The sequence below is a fragment of the Homo sapiens genome, chromosome 8 (assembly GCF_000001405.40).
Source record: "Homo sapiens chromosome 8, GRCh38.p14 Primary Assembly".
NCBI lineage: Eukaryota > Metazoa > Chordata > Mammalia > Primates > Hominidae > Homo > Homo sapiens.
In genome coordinates, this window is record NC_000008.11 from 89,979,306 (window position 1) to 89,993,506 (window position 14,201).

Here is a 14,201-nt window from a genome sequence, read left to right on the forward strand (position 1 = left end):
ATTTTATTGTCTAAATAGGGGCAAGCAGATTTAGATTGTCTCTCAAGAATGGAACCTGAAAGATACCACTTTCCAATGTGAAAGAAATAAACTAGCATGAACCAGTAATGTGCAAATCAACACTGTATTGGGTAAACTCTAATACATGTGACTTGGGAAATTAATTGGTCCATGCCTCAGTTTACACTTCAGAAAATAAAAGTTGAACTGAACGCTTTTTTTGTTGTTGTTGTTGTTGTTGTTTTTAAGTAGCTAATAGTAAGAATAAATGGTCTTTAAATTCCTTTTTGGCTCTAACATTCAATGATTTAAAAAATATAAGCTAACTGTACTTTCAGAAAATTTACCAAAAAAAAAAATATAACAACAAGGTTTTCTATTTTGGCATATGAATGACCAGGAATTTTTTTTAACAAATTACTCTGTAAACCACGTTGGTGTGTGTAATGGAGCAATTCACAAGGTGGTCATCAGCATCCCACTCGCTGGAAGTGTCCAGGTCTGTCACAGATGTAGTAAAATATCTCTCAAGACAATTTAACTACCTTTGATTGTATTTCACACCAACCAAGCTAGTGTATGATTACTTACTCTATTTCTTAAGTAATATCTTAAAGAGGACTGTGCTAGGGCCCACACTTAAATATTCTGGTAAAGGTGCATCCCTACTGAAAACCATAAATGGACACTTTGATTTGTAAATCTACTATTTGTAAGTTTATATGCATATATTAGTACTCTGGAGGCTAATCACACTGCTGAATTTATAAAATCAATTTCATAAATGTGCAAAAATAAAAAAACCCTTGATTACAGACAACCCCACCAAAGTACAAGTTGAGTTCCAGCTGAGCGGCAAGCCTTTCTCCACGATAACTCTTTAGCTATAAAACATAATTCTAGTTTAATTATATTAAATACTAAAGGATTTTTAATAAAGGAATCTAAGTATTTGTGGCTTTTTACTATAGATATTAACCTAAAAGGATCCCACAAATCTATAGGTCAACCTGTTTAAAAGGAGATGAATCACCTGGAGATTGGAGAAAGACAACTTGATAGAAAGACATGAGATGCAAACTTTGAAGACTGGCAGTTAATCTCTAGTTGCGTTGCTTTAAGACTGAAAACACAAAGTATGCACTGTCATAACCTTCTCGGTGGAAGGACAACAGAATCGCTTTTTAAAATGCTAAACAAAATCTGAAATATAATTTTAGTTGCTTTTGGCTTGTCTCAGATAATAAACAGGTTATATGAAAAGCCACTCAAGCCTAAATGGTATACAAAGGGATGGAGTGGGTATATATAAATCTACAACTAACAGTTCTGATAGTTTTAAAGTAATTAAAAAAAAATCTGTGTATAGTGGGTAAGCTTAAATTCAAATAACTTATTTTTAACATAAGAACAAGACATTCAACCTACTTTAATGGTAACTTTCACTGATACCATGACAAGGTGAGTGCATTCTTCTGTCCAATTGTTTACAGTAAATCCTCCAAGTTGCAATATAGCTTGATTTAAAGCAGTTTTCCCAGAGACATCTAAACAAGAAGAGCATGCAACCAAAGGCTCATACTCTATTCTGTAAATGAGAATAAGTTAAATAAAGTCATAGTATCAGAGTTGCAGAGATGGCAATTTTTAGTACTTTAAAACTTTAAGCTCACATCATATACTGTTATTGTAACTTTTATTTATTGTTACCCTTTGTAACCTATGAAATTATCAGTTCCTCATCATTAAGCTTTGTAACCTAGAAAATTATCAAATCCTAAGTCTTGAGTCCAAATGAAGAAAAAACAATGACCAAAAGTTAACATTATACCTTCACCAATGAGGAATCGAAGAAATGTAACTTCCCATGAAGTCCCTCAGGGCCCACTCAAACTCTCATCACCGTGATGTACAAAATGCACTCACCACCCATGGCACAGAGTCCAATACTGTGCTAAGCAGGAACTAAATTATACTGTTTTAAATTCATTAATCAGAAATATCATTTTCCTTTAGGATTTGGCTGAAACAAAGCTGTCCATTTTAAAATCAATTTTAAAATGTCTTACCTGAATTTACTTCCAAACACTCCAAAAGTAATACCATCCCCCGACTTCAAAGTTCGGGAAAAGCCATTCTGCATTTTTTCCTCATTAACAAAGGTACCATACTTAGAATTATCTTTTAATGTCAATACAGGGATTTCATCTGTTTGACTCTGAAAAGTTAGCAAATAATTTAAAGTCTTTTACCACTCAGTACATTCACTTCTCAGAGAAAAAGTTTTCAAAAGAAAAGACAATAGGCAGGTGGCTAACCTCCCAACACGGCAGACAACAATTACTGCTTCGGTTGCCTTGAGAGGAAGATCACTCAACTAACAATTCATATTTCCCCTTAGGGAAGTTTCTTAACCCAGGAATACCCCTCCTAGAACACACATGTTCTTTATTTGTGTAAGTCAGTGGGGATTCTCCTGACCCCTCACACACATTTGAGAATTTTTTGCTTTGGTGCAGTCTGTTTCATTTAAAACATGACAATTTCATTCCTAGATCTTTTTTTGTTTGTTTTACAGTATCAAAACCACATTGTAAAAATTAGTCCCATGAGAATACGAGGTTATAGGCTAGTGTTTCTGACTTACAGTAACAATTTTACTTTTTCTGTAGAAATTTCCAAAATGTTTTTCTATACCTAAAAGAACAGAAACAAAACCTAAATAAAACTGAAGAAATTCATATCGCATATATGCAATCTTTGATTAAAATAATGGCTCATCTTTCTTATTACCACCAGCGTTATCATGAGTACAGATATTCCTATGTATTTTTTTTAGCACTTTTATCACCCAAGGTTATGATCAAAACAAACTGAAAGCCATTTAAAGGAGCTGTGGGGCATAAGTAAGCATTTCCCTAATAAAACAAATCAATTCCCATTGCAAAAACTTGTATTATATGAGAAATGCCCGTTTCCACACAGCTACATAACCTCTTTAAGAGCCAGAGTCATGAAGGTCTGTTCATTGTTCTATTCGCAGGGTTGGCACAGTTACTGACACATAAAAACACATTACTGCTAATGGCAAAAACAGCAATTACTTTTGCACCAAACTAATAGTAAACAATAAATGTTTAGTAAGCAAATAAAAATAACTATGTCCTACTTCCTCTGAGTTTCTAACTAAAACAAAGAGTAAATTACTGAAATAGAAACTTCAAATCTCAAAATGAACAAATACCACTGGTACCACTGCCACAATATAAGTATTTAATTTTGTTAACATTAAAAAAGTCTACACAGCTCTATAAAATGACAAATCCTGTGAACTCTCTCTCACATACAAACCAAGAGAATATTTTGTGATTTCAACCCCCTTACTGGAAACTAGTGAAATAAAATTAGTAACATACCAGGTTGGTTACAGAAAAGTTAGCAGTTAACACAGCATGATTTCGGCTGATCGACTGATCATTTTCAATCAGAATGGCACAGTTTTTCCTTCCAACAACGTACTCAACGCCAGTCAAAAGTCTGTATGGTTCTCCTGAGATAAATTTTTTTTTAAAAAAAGATAAGTTGATAGACACATACACATGTACACGAACACACACATACATGTAAGTGTATATGATATAGGTATGACAAATATTAAATAAAACACCTTTGTTATTCAAATGTTAGTCAACTTTACATATGTCAAACTTGTGTTTTCAGTAAAGCCTCACTGAAGGCTATCAAAGGTTATCTAACTATGGTGTTTCAGGAGTAACAACAACAAAATTTAAAATACAATAAAAAAGAGAAAAAGAAAAAAAGGTTATCTAAACAGATAGAAGGCTACATCATTTTTCTAAAGGGAAAGCAATGCTGAAAGGAGTCAATGTTCCCTCAAATTAACTTAAAAACTTAATGTATTACCTAGCAACAATCACAATATTATGTTTGGAACTTGATAAACAAAAATATCAGGAAACTATAAAAAAAGATGCTCAAGCCTGTAATCCCAGCTACTTGGGAGGCTGAAGCAAGAGAACTGCTTGAACCCAGGGGATGGAGGTTGCAGTGAGCCGACACAGTGCCACTGCACTCCAGCCTCGGTGACAGAGTGAGACTCCGTCTCAAAAAAAAAAAAAAATCAAGAAAAATGTGAATAATATAATAGGAGCTTGCCCTACCAGATGGCAAAATATGCCATAAAACTAAAAGTATGGTACTGGACCATGAGTAAACAACACAGACCAATGCAACAAAGTCCAGACTAAGATGCACGTGTACATTTTTTGAAAATTTGTTTTTATCTTAAAGATAACATCTCCAATCAGTGGGAAAGGGTTATCAGTTTCTTTTAAAATTGCTGTAAATCATAAGTTGTTGGAGTAACAGTATATATATTGGAGACATGCGGAGTTGAGTCTGGGAGCATAATTTCATTACCCGAGTGGCAGGGAGATTAGGGCAGATAAAGAGTAGGGAGTCCAGAAGAGCCAGGTCTCCAGGGACGCCTTGACCTGTGAGTCTTCACAGTATAAAATTTATTTAGTTTGGCGCTCTCCATACTCTCTTACCCTGCCAGTCCATTTAGTCTCTACATAGATCTTTGCCAATCATCATGTAAACTTCCCGAGGACAAGACCCTTCACACCCACCACGGGCAACCAATTAACATGTGATCACATTTCACACCGCTGGAAATGAATGGGAAAAAATCGACTTTTCCCATTGTTCTGATGACATTGTGGAAAAGGAGTCTGAAACAAAACTGAAAGTAAGCCTTTTCGTGGTAGTCATTTCCCCAAACTGTCCAGTAGTTCTTCACAAGTCATGTGTGGCCCCCGTGTGGTCCGCCCATGCTAACTTCCTGCCGGGGGTTCCCACTAGGCGCCTGCTGCCGCTTACCCGCAGGCCATCCAGCCCTAGCGCTGCAACGGCGCGGGGGTGAGGCTGGGAGGGAGGGGGAGTCAGGGGAGGGGCGCGGAGGACTGCCACCAGGGGGCGCCGCAATCACCCCACCGCCCGCGCTGAATTCCAGCTCACAGCCGCCGTGCTGCCCGGGAAGAATATGCGCTTGCCATACAGCGTACTCGCCGCTTCTGCGACCGCTTCCGCAGCGTCCCCGGGCAGGAACGGACGCGACGCAGGAATCACCCGCAGGCCCTCCCCCGAGGCAGTCGCTACCGGGAAAATAGGCCCCGAGGCTTCCCTTCTGCCCTTACCTCCTGCCGGGCCCGCGGCGGGCAGCAGTTTCCACATCGGTCCGGCTCCTCAGGGCTGGGGCCGACGTGCAACCGCGTAACCGGGGCTGCTAGACGAGCGCGGATACGGCGCCTGCGGTCGGCATGGGCTCCGGGACGTGCGCGCTCCCGGGAGCCACGCAGGCTGCCTTGGATGAGGCGGGAGTGCGACTTGGGCGCTTGCCCGCCACCTGGTGGTTGGAAAAGGAACAGCACAATCTGTATTGAAATGTGCTGCGTTAAAAGGGTATGTTTCTAAGGTGTCGCTGAATGTAAGGTTACTACCTTTCCTGATTATGAACGAAAAGAATTTTAAAAACTAACTCCAAAGCAACATAAGGAAAATTTTTAATTAAATGCATTAAAATACTTACCAGTTATGTAGTTTCGTGCGTTTGCAGTTTCTTAAATTGCAGGTATTCCTTTGGAATCTAGTAATGGTGATAATAATGATGAAGATAAGGATTTCACCTCGAAGTAAACTCATTATTTTTACTCTTTTCTAAGTTCAAATCAACTTGTCTTAACGTCTTTATTTCATAATGCCACACTTTCAGCTAATCACATGCTAAATACTGGGCAGTCTCCTGTATTTAATACCCTTCCTTTCCACTTCCACCTGTCTCAAGCTGGTTCAAGCTCTCCTCCTAATTCCAGTAGCTTCCCAACCCATCACCACCCACGTCCCACATAATGTAGTCTACATCCTGCGCACTACTAAATAAACATCTGAGAGCACACTCCTGATCACATACATTTTGGCTTTCAAAAGCATTCTGTAATAGGGGGGAAAAGTCACTTTAAAAAGGCTTGTTTAGGCCCAGCACCATGGCTCGCTCCTTTAATCCCAGCAGTCTGGGAGGCCAAGATGGGAGGATCACTTGAGGCCAGGAGTTCAAGATCAGCATGGGCAACATGGCAAGACCCTGTCTTTATAAAAAATTTTAAAGTTAGCAGGGCTTGGTGCCATGCTCCTGTATTCCCAGCTACTCAGGAGGCTGAGGCAGAAGGATCACTTGAGCCCAGGAGTTCGATGCTGCAGTGAGCCATGATCATGCCACTGCACTCTAGCCTGGGCGATAGAGCAAGACCCTGTCTCAAAAAAAAAAAAAAAAAAAGGCTGGTTTACCAATCTCTTATCATCATAGATGCAAACTCCTAAGCACAATATTAGCAAATTGAATCAAGTAGTAGTATAAAAAGAATAATCATAACTAAGTGAGATTTATCCAGAAACAAAAGGGTGGGTTAACATTGGGGGAAAAAATAAATGTAATTCATCATAATAATTTTAAATAGGAGAAAAATCATGATTATCTTGATAGTAGCAAAGAAATTGATAAAATTAAGCACCCATTTAGGATAAAAACCTCTCTGCAAAGTAGGAATAGAGAAAACATCCATGATCTGATAAAGGACATTTACAAAAAAAACTACAGTTTACGTTATACTTAAGGTAAATTATTGAACATTTCCCCATGACATCAGTAATGAAACAAGGATGTACACGCTCTTACCACTTATTTTCAGCATGGCTTTAGATGCTCTAGCCAATGCAATAAAGGAGAAAGAGTAACAAAAGACATTCAGATTGGAAAGGAAGAAATAACAGTCATTATTCACAAATTACACGATTGCCTATATTGAAAATCAAAAAAACTGTTGGCAAACTATTTTAATTAATAAATGAATTTAATAAGGTTATAGATACAATATCTAGATACAAAATTTAATTGTATACCTTTATTCCAGAAAATAAATAGAAAATTACATGTTTAATTATAATGGCACCAAAATAATCGAGTGCTTGGTAATACATCGATCAAACTATGTAATACAAAACATGATTGACTACATAACATTATTGACAGAAAGTTTAAAAAGTCCTAAATAAATGCAAGGATAATGGATCATGTTCACAGATTGTTAAGATGTCATTTCCCCCAAAATTGTTCTATAGATTCAATGTAACTTCAGCAATCTCAAATGCTTTTTTTGAGTAGAAATGGATGAGCAGATTCTAACATTTATATGGAAATGCAAATGCCTAGAATAGCCAAGGCAATTTTGAAGAACAAAGCTGGAATATTTAAATTATGAAATACTAAGATCTATTATAAAGTTACAGTTATTAAGTCAGTGTTTGCTTGGTACAAGGATAGAAAACAGGCAAATGAGTCAGAATAGAGGGACCTAAAAAAAGTGGACACATAAGGTAATTTGATTTTTCGAAGGTGATTACAGGGCAACAAAGGAAAGTCTCATGTGACCCCACCCCACCCCACAAATAAATGATCCCGTTTATTAACGTGACACAAGAAATGTGTTAACATAACACAGGAAATGAAGACTGATCCCCCTAATTCATTTAGATGAATTAGAATTCATCTAAATTCCAGATGAATCATTATTTACATAGGAAAGTAAAATAATAAATATTAGTGGAAGAAAACATGATTTCAAAGTAGGCAGATCTTTCTTAAGTAGGACACACAAAAGTATGCCCTGCATCATAGAATCCCTAAATTTCACTGATTTAGTGAAGCATCAACATTTTGCAGGAATTTTCTTCCACATTCTGAAGTATACATATCTCACCAAGGCCTCCAACCTGTTTGCCAAATCCTTACTCATCCAATCTGGTGAGCATAATACCATCACTGTAGTAGAACAGTGGATGTTCTGCAGCATGTCCAGACACTTCAGGTCTCTTGGGAATACATTATGATAGAGGTTAAGGAGATACAGCTTAGCTCTGGGTCAACATTGCAAGTATTTTCTATTATTTTTTCTAATTAAATATGAGCACTTTTGGATTCTACTTTCTGTTAAGGTTGGGGAAGCACATGTCATCATATCAATCACCCCAAACCTGTTGCCTGAGGTCATGTTGTTCTGCTCTTGTAAAGATTTCACATCTGGTACAGCAGCTCTAATTGGGGTTATTACTTTGTTGATTGCAGTAGTCGGCTGTTTATTCTCCAGGAACTGTTAGGCTTTTGTAGGTCAAGTATGATGAATTAAATGGAGATAAAAAGGGAGCCAAAAAGAAAGCACTAATATCTATCATTCCCCTATATTGTTCTTGCTCACTGTCATGGCTGTACAATTTGAGGCTGCTCCCTGTTGGCCTTGCCCGCGTTGATAGTTCTTACCCTACAGGCCAAGGAGCTGAGGTGGGTATTGTAAGAACTACCAAGGATGTTCATTTCAATTATATATTTGGGAACTAGGAAAATGACCACCACGTAAGTCTATGTGTTCGGTGGACCCACTGTATGCCAGACCTGGACAAGGACTCCCTTAACTCTCTGGCTTCTGAATACCTCTGCTTTAACCAGGAGTCATAATATTTTGGGTTCATGGGTATCAATAATGATCATGTCCCACAGCCCTCCAAGTATTTGGGCATTCTCTTTTCCTCAGTGTATGATTTTCCAAGCGAATGGCTATAGGTCCCTTAAGGGAAAGACTGAGAGTAGGGTGGGGTGCGGGGAGGTCATTACCATATATTCTTGCTATGGGATTGCAGGGTCCTTCTTACTGGCAGTCCTGCCTCTCCACCAGTCAATGGGTTCTGGATTGGCAAAGTGGCTCAAATCAGGAAATTCGGAAAGAGACTGTGACTTTTTGTTGAGGCTGCTGCTCTGAGCCTTGTGTCTTCCATTCTTGATACCTGTTCACTGAACAGATTGAGTTTACTCTTGGTTAACTGTCTTTCCCCACAGGGGTGCCTTATTCTATTAAGCATCTTTTAAGCTCACTCTGGGTCGAGAGCTCTGCTGCCACTTCAATCTTGCCACTCAAGATAATTATACCATTCGGATGGTTAAGTACCACCAGCTGGCCTCTATCATTTCAGGATTCTATTATCCCCAGTCCTATCTGGGAACTCAATTCCATAACAGCATCTTTTATCATCAACCATGACCTACAGAGGAGACCTACCACTGAGCTTCTCAGTGATGCTGGTACCCTTCTCACCAGAGAATTCCATGTCTCTTTAATAAATGGCACATCTGAACTGGAATTTTGACATCTGGGGGGTTTCCAGCCCTACATAATATGGCCACTGTAGCATACCCATTTCCCTGAGCAGTTTGATCCCTACTTCTACCATCTGCCATGGCAGCTGTGGCATTTTTACTTCTCTTAGCGTGGGCCACCACTTTTCCACAAACTTCTAAAAGCCGTCATAGAAGCATGATAGCAATGTTTCCCAGAGTCCTTGCTGGAATGTTCGATCCTCTCTCCCTGGAGACTGCTCTCAAATCAATAAACTCTCTCATACAAATTTACTTTCCACTCTCCTTTTGTTCAGCATCCTCAGAAGGCAGTCCCATCAGTACTGTCTTGTTCCAGCTGCTTCATGTTGGCAGGGTTCTACAGCTCCTTCTGGGTAAAGCCACCTCCTTCCTTTATCAGGCCCAGTTCTTCCCTGCTGGGAAATACTATAACTTAGCCCAACTTATTGTCTGATTGCCAGGATGAAAGATGGTAGTGGCAGAGTGATGAAGGAAAACAGATCCCACAATTTCTATCTGTTGCTTGGTAACAACACAGGTCTAATAATCAGAGCCCAGAAAAAAATTGAAGAGGAGCATGATGCAAATAGGGTTTGCTTTTGGTAGCAAATTGGTCTGCTTATTGCTCCATGCTCCCTGCTTCTTGTACCTTGCTGGCATCTCCTCTCACCTCTGTCATGGTATAAACAAACTCTTCTAAATCTTTAGGGTCTTGACAGAGTCTTCCCTTTACATCTTGCCTTAAATGAAACTTTGCTGTCACCCTAGACCACAGCTTCCCATGACAGGTTCTAGGCTAGTTTGCTCCAATGCCTCTCCCACTCATATCCAGTACAGCTGTGGGCCACTAGGGTTACTACTTCCCCCTAAACTTTACTTTCCATTTTAGTGTATTACTCTTCCCTACTTTGCAAAACCTCTCCTTGGTCAGGATCATTTCGTGTAACTATCCACCCTCTAGACCTTCTTTTTCTATTACCTACTGCAGGTATGACCATGTCACTTGCCCATATTCACTAAGGACACTGTCACATATGTGAGAGATTTTGCTCCATCCCAACTCTTGCCATCACTCTCAACTACACTGAAAACTCATTCTACATGCTAGGCTCACTATTCTTCAACTGTCTCAGCTTCTGTGACTTTCATCTCTACTCCACACATACCACCCTCTCAGTTGGCCACACTTTCGATCTTCACATCATCAGAACCTTCTTCACCCTTATTTTCCTGCTTTATAACTGGAGCTGCCTGGCCTTCCCACTTCCTTGTATGTTCACTTCCATTGCCTCGCTTTTTAGCCTCACCCACGACTCCAGCCACATGATCCTTCCACTTTACCCAGGTGTCAGTCTCCTTCCATCCTCCTTCATATCCGGGCTGGACACCAGGATGGATAGCTCAGTAACTTTGCTGTCAGTCAGCTCTCACTACTGAGCTGTAGCTCTCAGAAGTACTTTTACCCTGAGATCTCTTAGATCCATAGCTCACTTGTCTAAGAGCCCTAACAAACTCAGAACTATGAGTCAATCAATCCCACAGCAAATTTCTCTACTGAGACACCTGGGTAAAATCTGTCCATCTTCAAAAATACGGAACCAATGCCAATCTATAAACTCTAATATCAGTTGAACTACAGAATACAATTGATCAGTATCTTTTCCTGCTTTTAAGAAAATCTATTCTCAATAACTCTGAAGAGCTATTTGACACATTTGCTGAACTCCTCAGATCTGATCATCTCCTGCTTTCCTTCCAAGAAAATGGTTTCGTATCTTACTAGAAATTGAGGCAAGAGCTTCCTTACACTTTCTGACCTTACACTGCTGCTGTTCTTATCACAAAACAAACCTCTTTTCTTTTAAAATCTGTACCCATGCCTTATCCTTGCCTTCTTATCTCTGGTTTCATGATATGATTTTACCATTCAGTTCAGGATCAATTTCTCCATGTGCTTACACCCATCTCCTCTCATTTCCCCAGGGTTTTGCTTTATCAGTTATCCCTTTCTCCTACTTGTTTTCAGTTTCTCCCTTTGGTTCCTTTACCATACCCTAAAAATATTTACCTTGTCCTCTCCCCCAAAATTCCATTAACCCTGCCATTAATTTCCAGCGAATGTTCAGCTAACATGTAAGTTTAATAGTGCTAGACTTAATTGTTTCAAGATCACACAATGGGTAACTAACAAAGGTAACTCAGTCTCCTCTTATCTATAAGTGGTCTTAAATAATAACTACCTTGAAGTGTTATTGTTAGGAATAAGTGAGATTGTAAATCAAAAAGTCTCTGAGACAAGTCTCAATCAATTTAGAGGTTTATTTTGCCAAGGTTGAGGACAGGCTTGGTAAAAAGACACAAGCCACAGTAGGATCTGTGGCCTGTACTTTTTCCAAGGATTTTAAGAGCTTCAATATTTAAAGGGGAAAGTGGTCAGGAAGGGAAAGAGGGGGGGAAAAAGAGGGAGGGTATGGTCACACTCTTGTGAATCCACACATTGCACAAGAAAAGGAGGGGAGAGAGGGAACAGTTGATGTATTCATATCGTGCTCAATAAATCTGCACTTTACATAAGGTAAAGTAAACATAGAGGAAGCAGCAAATATGCATTTGTCTTGGGGTGGGTGGGGTGGGGGGACGGGATGATTTCTAGTCTCCTCTTGTCCCATACTTGTGAAGATAACGTGTTAATTTACATCATCGGATGAGGGAGGTCCCCTTTGGAGATACGTGGCCATCTGTCAGTTTAAGACAAAAGGAAAGGTAGTTTTGGTTTTTAAAAATATTTTTTCATGACTCAGTTTCTGAGCTTAACTTTTCCCTTTTGGCATAGTGATTTTATTTTCCTTCCACAAGACACTATATTATATATGGTAGTTGTTAAGCAAATGTGACTTTCCTTTTCTTCCTTTATAGTTCCATGAGGGAAGGGCTGGTGTCTAAGACATGTCTGTGTTCCTACTGTCTAAATCACTTTTGTTTCTCATATTTACCATAGTGATGAACACATGGAAGATGCATAACTCTTTGTTAAACTTAACTACTCATTGAACCTCTTTCCAACTTTTACTTAGATTGCAACTGTGAAGGTCGGTGGGGTGTGGAGTGTGGGTGAATGAGAAGCATGTGGAGATCAAGTGTTGATTCAAGGTGTATCTTTATTATTCTGAATATGTCTGATAGTAAGGAGCAATGAGTTCTATTTTTGTGTCTCAATGCTCATTCTACTTTACTATAATGATTTTGCTATAATAATTATATATTTTACTAGAATAAATAATTTAACTTCTATGTGTCTTGTTTCTTCTTTATATGGGGATATAACAATATATGTATGATTAATCTGTGCATAAGCAGTAGAATTAATTGAAACATCAATGGATTACTTGAATCGTATTGGCTGTTTAATCATAGTTTTTTTTTTTAATTGAAAGATAAAAGAATATAAGACTCCAAATTGCAGAGTATAAGATTTGGCTTTACTGAATGAGAACAAATAAGTCTATGTAATGGGATCATGGGCAAGCCTCCCTTGCAGAAGTCATTCAAGAAGCGAATTAACAATTACAAAGCACTTTGAAACTCTGAAGCTTAATATTTACCTAAAATGTGTAAATTAGATGAAATATTCAAACACCAGAGATACATAAGAGCTAATATTATATATAATATGTTATATATATTTAAGCTATTTTATTTTAACAGCATTTCACAATGAACTCCTTAGTACCACACCAGGTTACCTATAGCAATTCTGCCAAATCTAGTTTATTTGCAAAATCACAGATTTTTAGACCTACAAGCGATATTATAGTTCTATACTGATCTCATTTATGCAAACACCCTAGTTTTATGGATGAGGAAAATAAAGCTGATAAAAGTTAATTTGTCCAGTAACAGAAAGCCAATTTGTCACAGAGTTGTGACAAGAACAGTATCATCAGCTGTTTTGCTTCTCAGTGCAGCTCTCTTTCAATCCCTTCAGCTCCCAAATGGAATGGACTTAGTTCCTGGAGCACAGCACAACTCTTGAGCAATTCCTGTGATGTGCAATCTGGGGAGTGAAGGCAGGATAAAAAACCAGAGAGGCCTAGCACAGTGACTGACATTTGTAATCCCAGCTACTCTGGAGGCTGAGGCAGGAGGATTGCTTGAGCCCAGGAGTTTAAGGCCAGACTGAGCATCATAGTGAGAGCCGGTCTCTAGGAAAAAAAAAAAAAAAAAGCAAAAATCCAGAGGGAGGAACATTATTAACTGTAGCTCCCTTTTCCCCGACTCAGACTTGCCCTTTAAGGACGTCAGCAATCACATGTCTGGCACCTTCCACCAGAAGTAAGCATGACTCTCCCTTTCAGGTGGGCCTTACTGATATTCTTCAGTAGTGAGTCAGATATCAGTCAAAGAGTGTCTCAGTCTATTTATTCTATTTCCAAAATAATGTGGAGCAACCCTCTGTCCATTTCTGAAAGGTGTGGGTCTTCCTCACCACAGCAGCACAGGCTGGTGTAACAACATGGCTTTGGGGCTGGGTGCCAAGGGGTTTGCTTGCAGCTTACTGCTGTTGGGGATGTCCAGTTAAAAACAAAATCTCCTGGCACCCCAGTAGACCCACAAGCAATTGACTAGAGATTGTGAAGACAAAAATAAATCTCACACTTTATATAGGCAAGCAGATACAACCATTTCATACGTGTTCTTAAGAGGAACAATAATTAGTCCTCAAGTAAGAGGACTTGATAGCACCCTTTGTCACACCTTGTTCATACCAAATTCACTTGATAATTAGGGTTATCACCCTTATTAACTAATTGGGTTGATTTAAAGGAAAAATTAACTTATTTTATCTTTACGACTGGGGGTAGGTTTCAACTTGAAGCCAGGTAAACAGCTTAAGTTAGGCTCCTACTCTCCCACAGAAATAGGAGATAGGATAGGGCCA

General features: G+C 39.0%; 1 protein-coding gene across 7 annotated transcripts in view, besides 4 other annotated features; it reads right to left on the reverse strand.

The window, feature by feature from the left end:
- NBN (nibrin) overlaps window positions 1–5,362 on the reverse strand; it is a 51,337-nt gene extending 45,975 nt beyond the window's left edge. For 3 of the 7 annotated variants that reach the window (NM_002485.5, XM_011517046.2, XM_047421796.1), the window contains exons 1-4: window positions 5,220–5,362; window positions 3,417–3,550; window positions 2,070–2,218; window positions 1,429–1,588 (exon numbers count right to left, since the gene is read on the reverse strand). In NM_002485.5, coding sequence (NP_002476.2) covers window positions 1,429–1,588; window positions 2,070–2,218; window positions 3,417–3,550; window positions 5,220–5,256 — 480 coding nt within the window. In that variant the 5' untranslated portion in view covers window positions 5,257–5,362. Of the gene's footprint in view, window positions 1–1,033; window positions 1,124–1,428; window positions 1,589–2,069; window positions 2,219–2,647; window positions 2,698–3,416; window positions 3,551–4,902; window positions 4,967–5,219 lie in introns of those variants that run through there. The other 4 variants (NM_001024688.3, NM_001440380.1, NM_001440379.1 and 1 more) reach the window with 4 other exon arrangements.
- Window positions 4,455–4,794: an enhancer, noted in NCBI's record as "active region_27608". NCBI's record gives its function as "activates an Ori minimal core promoter by ATAC-STARR-seq in GM12878 lymphoblastoid cells {active_cell/tissue: GM12878}" and the evidence as "EXISTENCE:reporter gene assay evidence [ECO:0000049][PMID:35858748]".
- Window positions 4,915–5,114: a silencer, noted in NCBI's record as "silent region_19349". NCBI's record gives its function as "represses an Ori minimal core promoter by ATAC-STARR-seq in GM12878 lymphoblastoid cells {active_cell/tissue: GM12878}" and the evidence as "EXISTENCE:reporter gene assay evidence [ECO:0000049][PMID:35858748]".
- Window positions 4,915–5,722: a biological region, named in NCBI's record as "NANOG-H3K27ac-H3K4me1 hESC enhancer GRCh37_chr8:90996459-90997255".
- Window positions 4,926–5,722: an enhancer, noted in NCBI's record as "NANOG-H3K27ac-H3K4me1 hESC enhancer chr8:90996459-90997255 (GRCh37/hg19 assembly coordinates)". NCBI's record gives its function as "activates a minimal SCP1, AML or CMV promoter by ChIP-STARR-seq in primed H9 embryonic stem cells {active_cell/tissue: H9 hESC(primed)}" and the evidence as "EXISTENCE:reporter gene assay evidence [ECO:0000049][PMID:30033119]".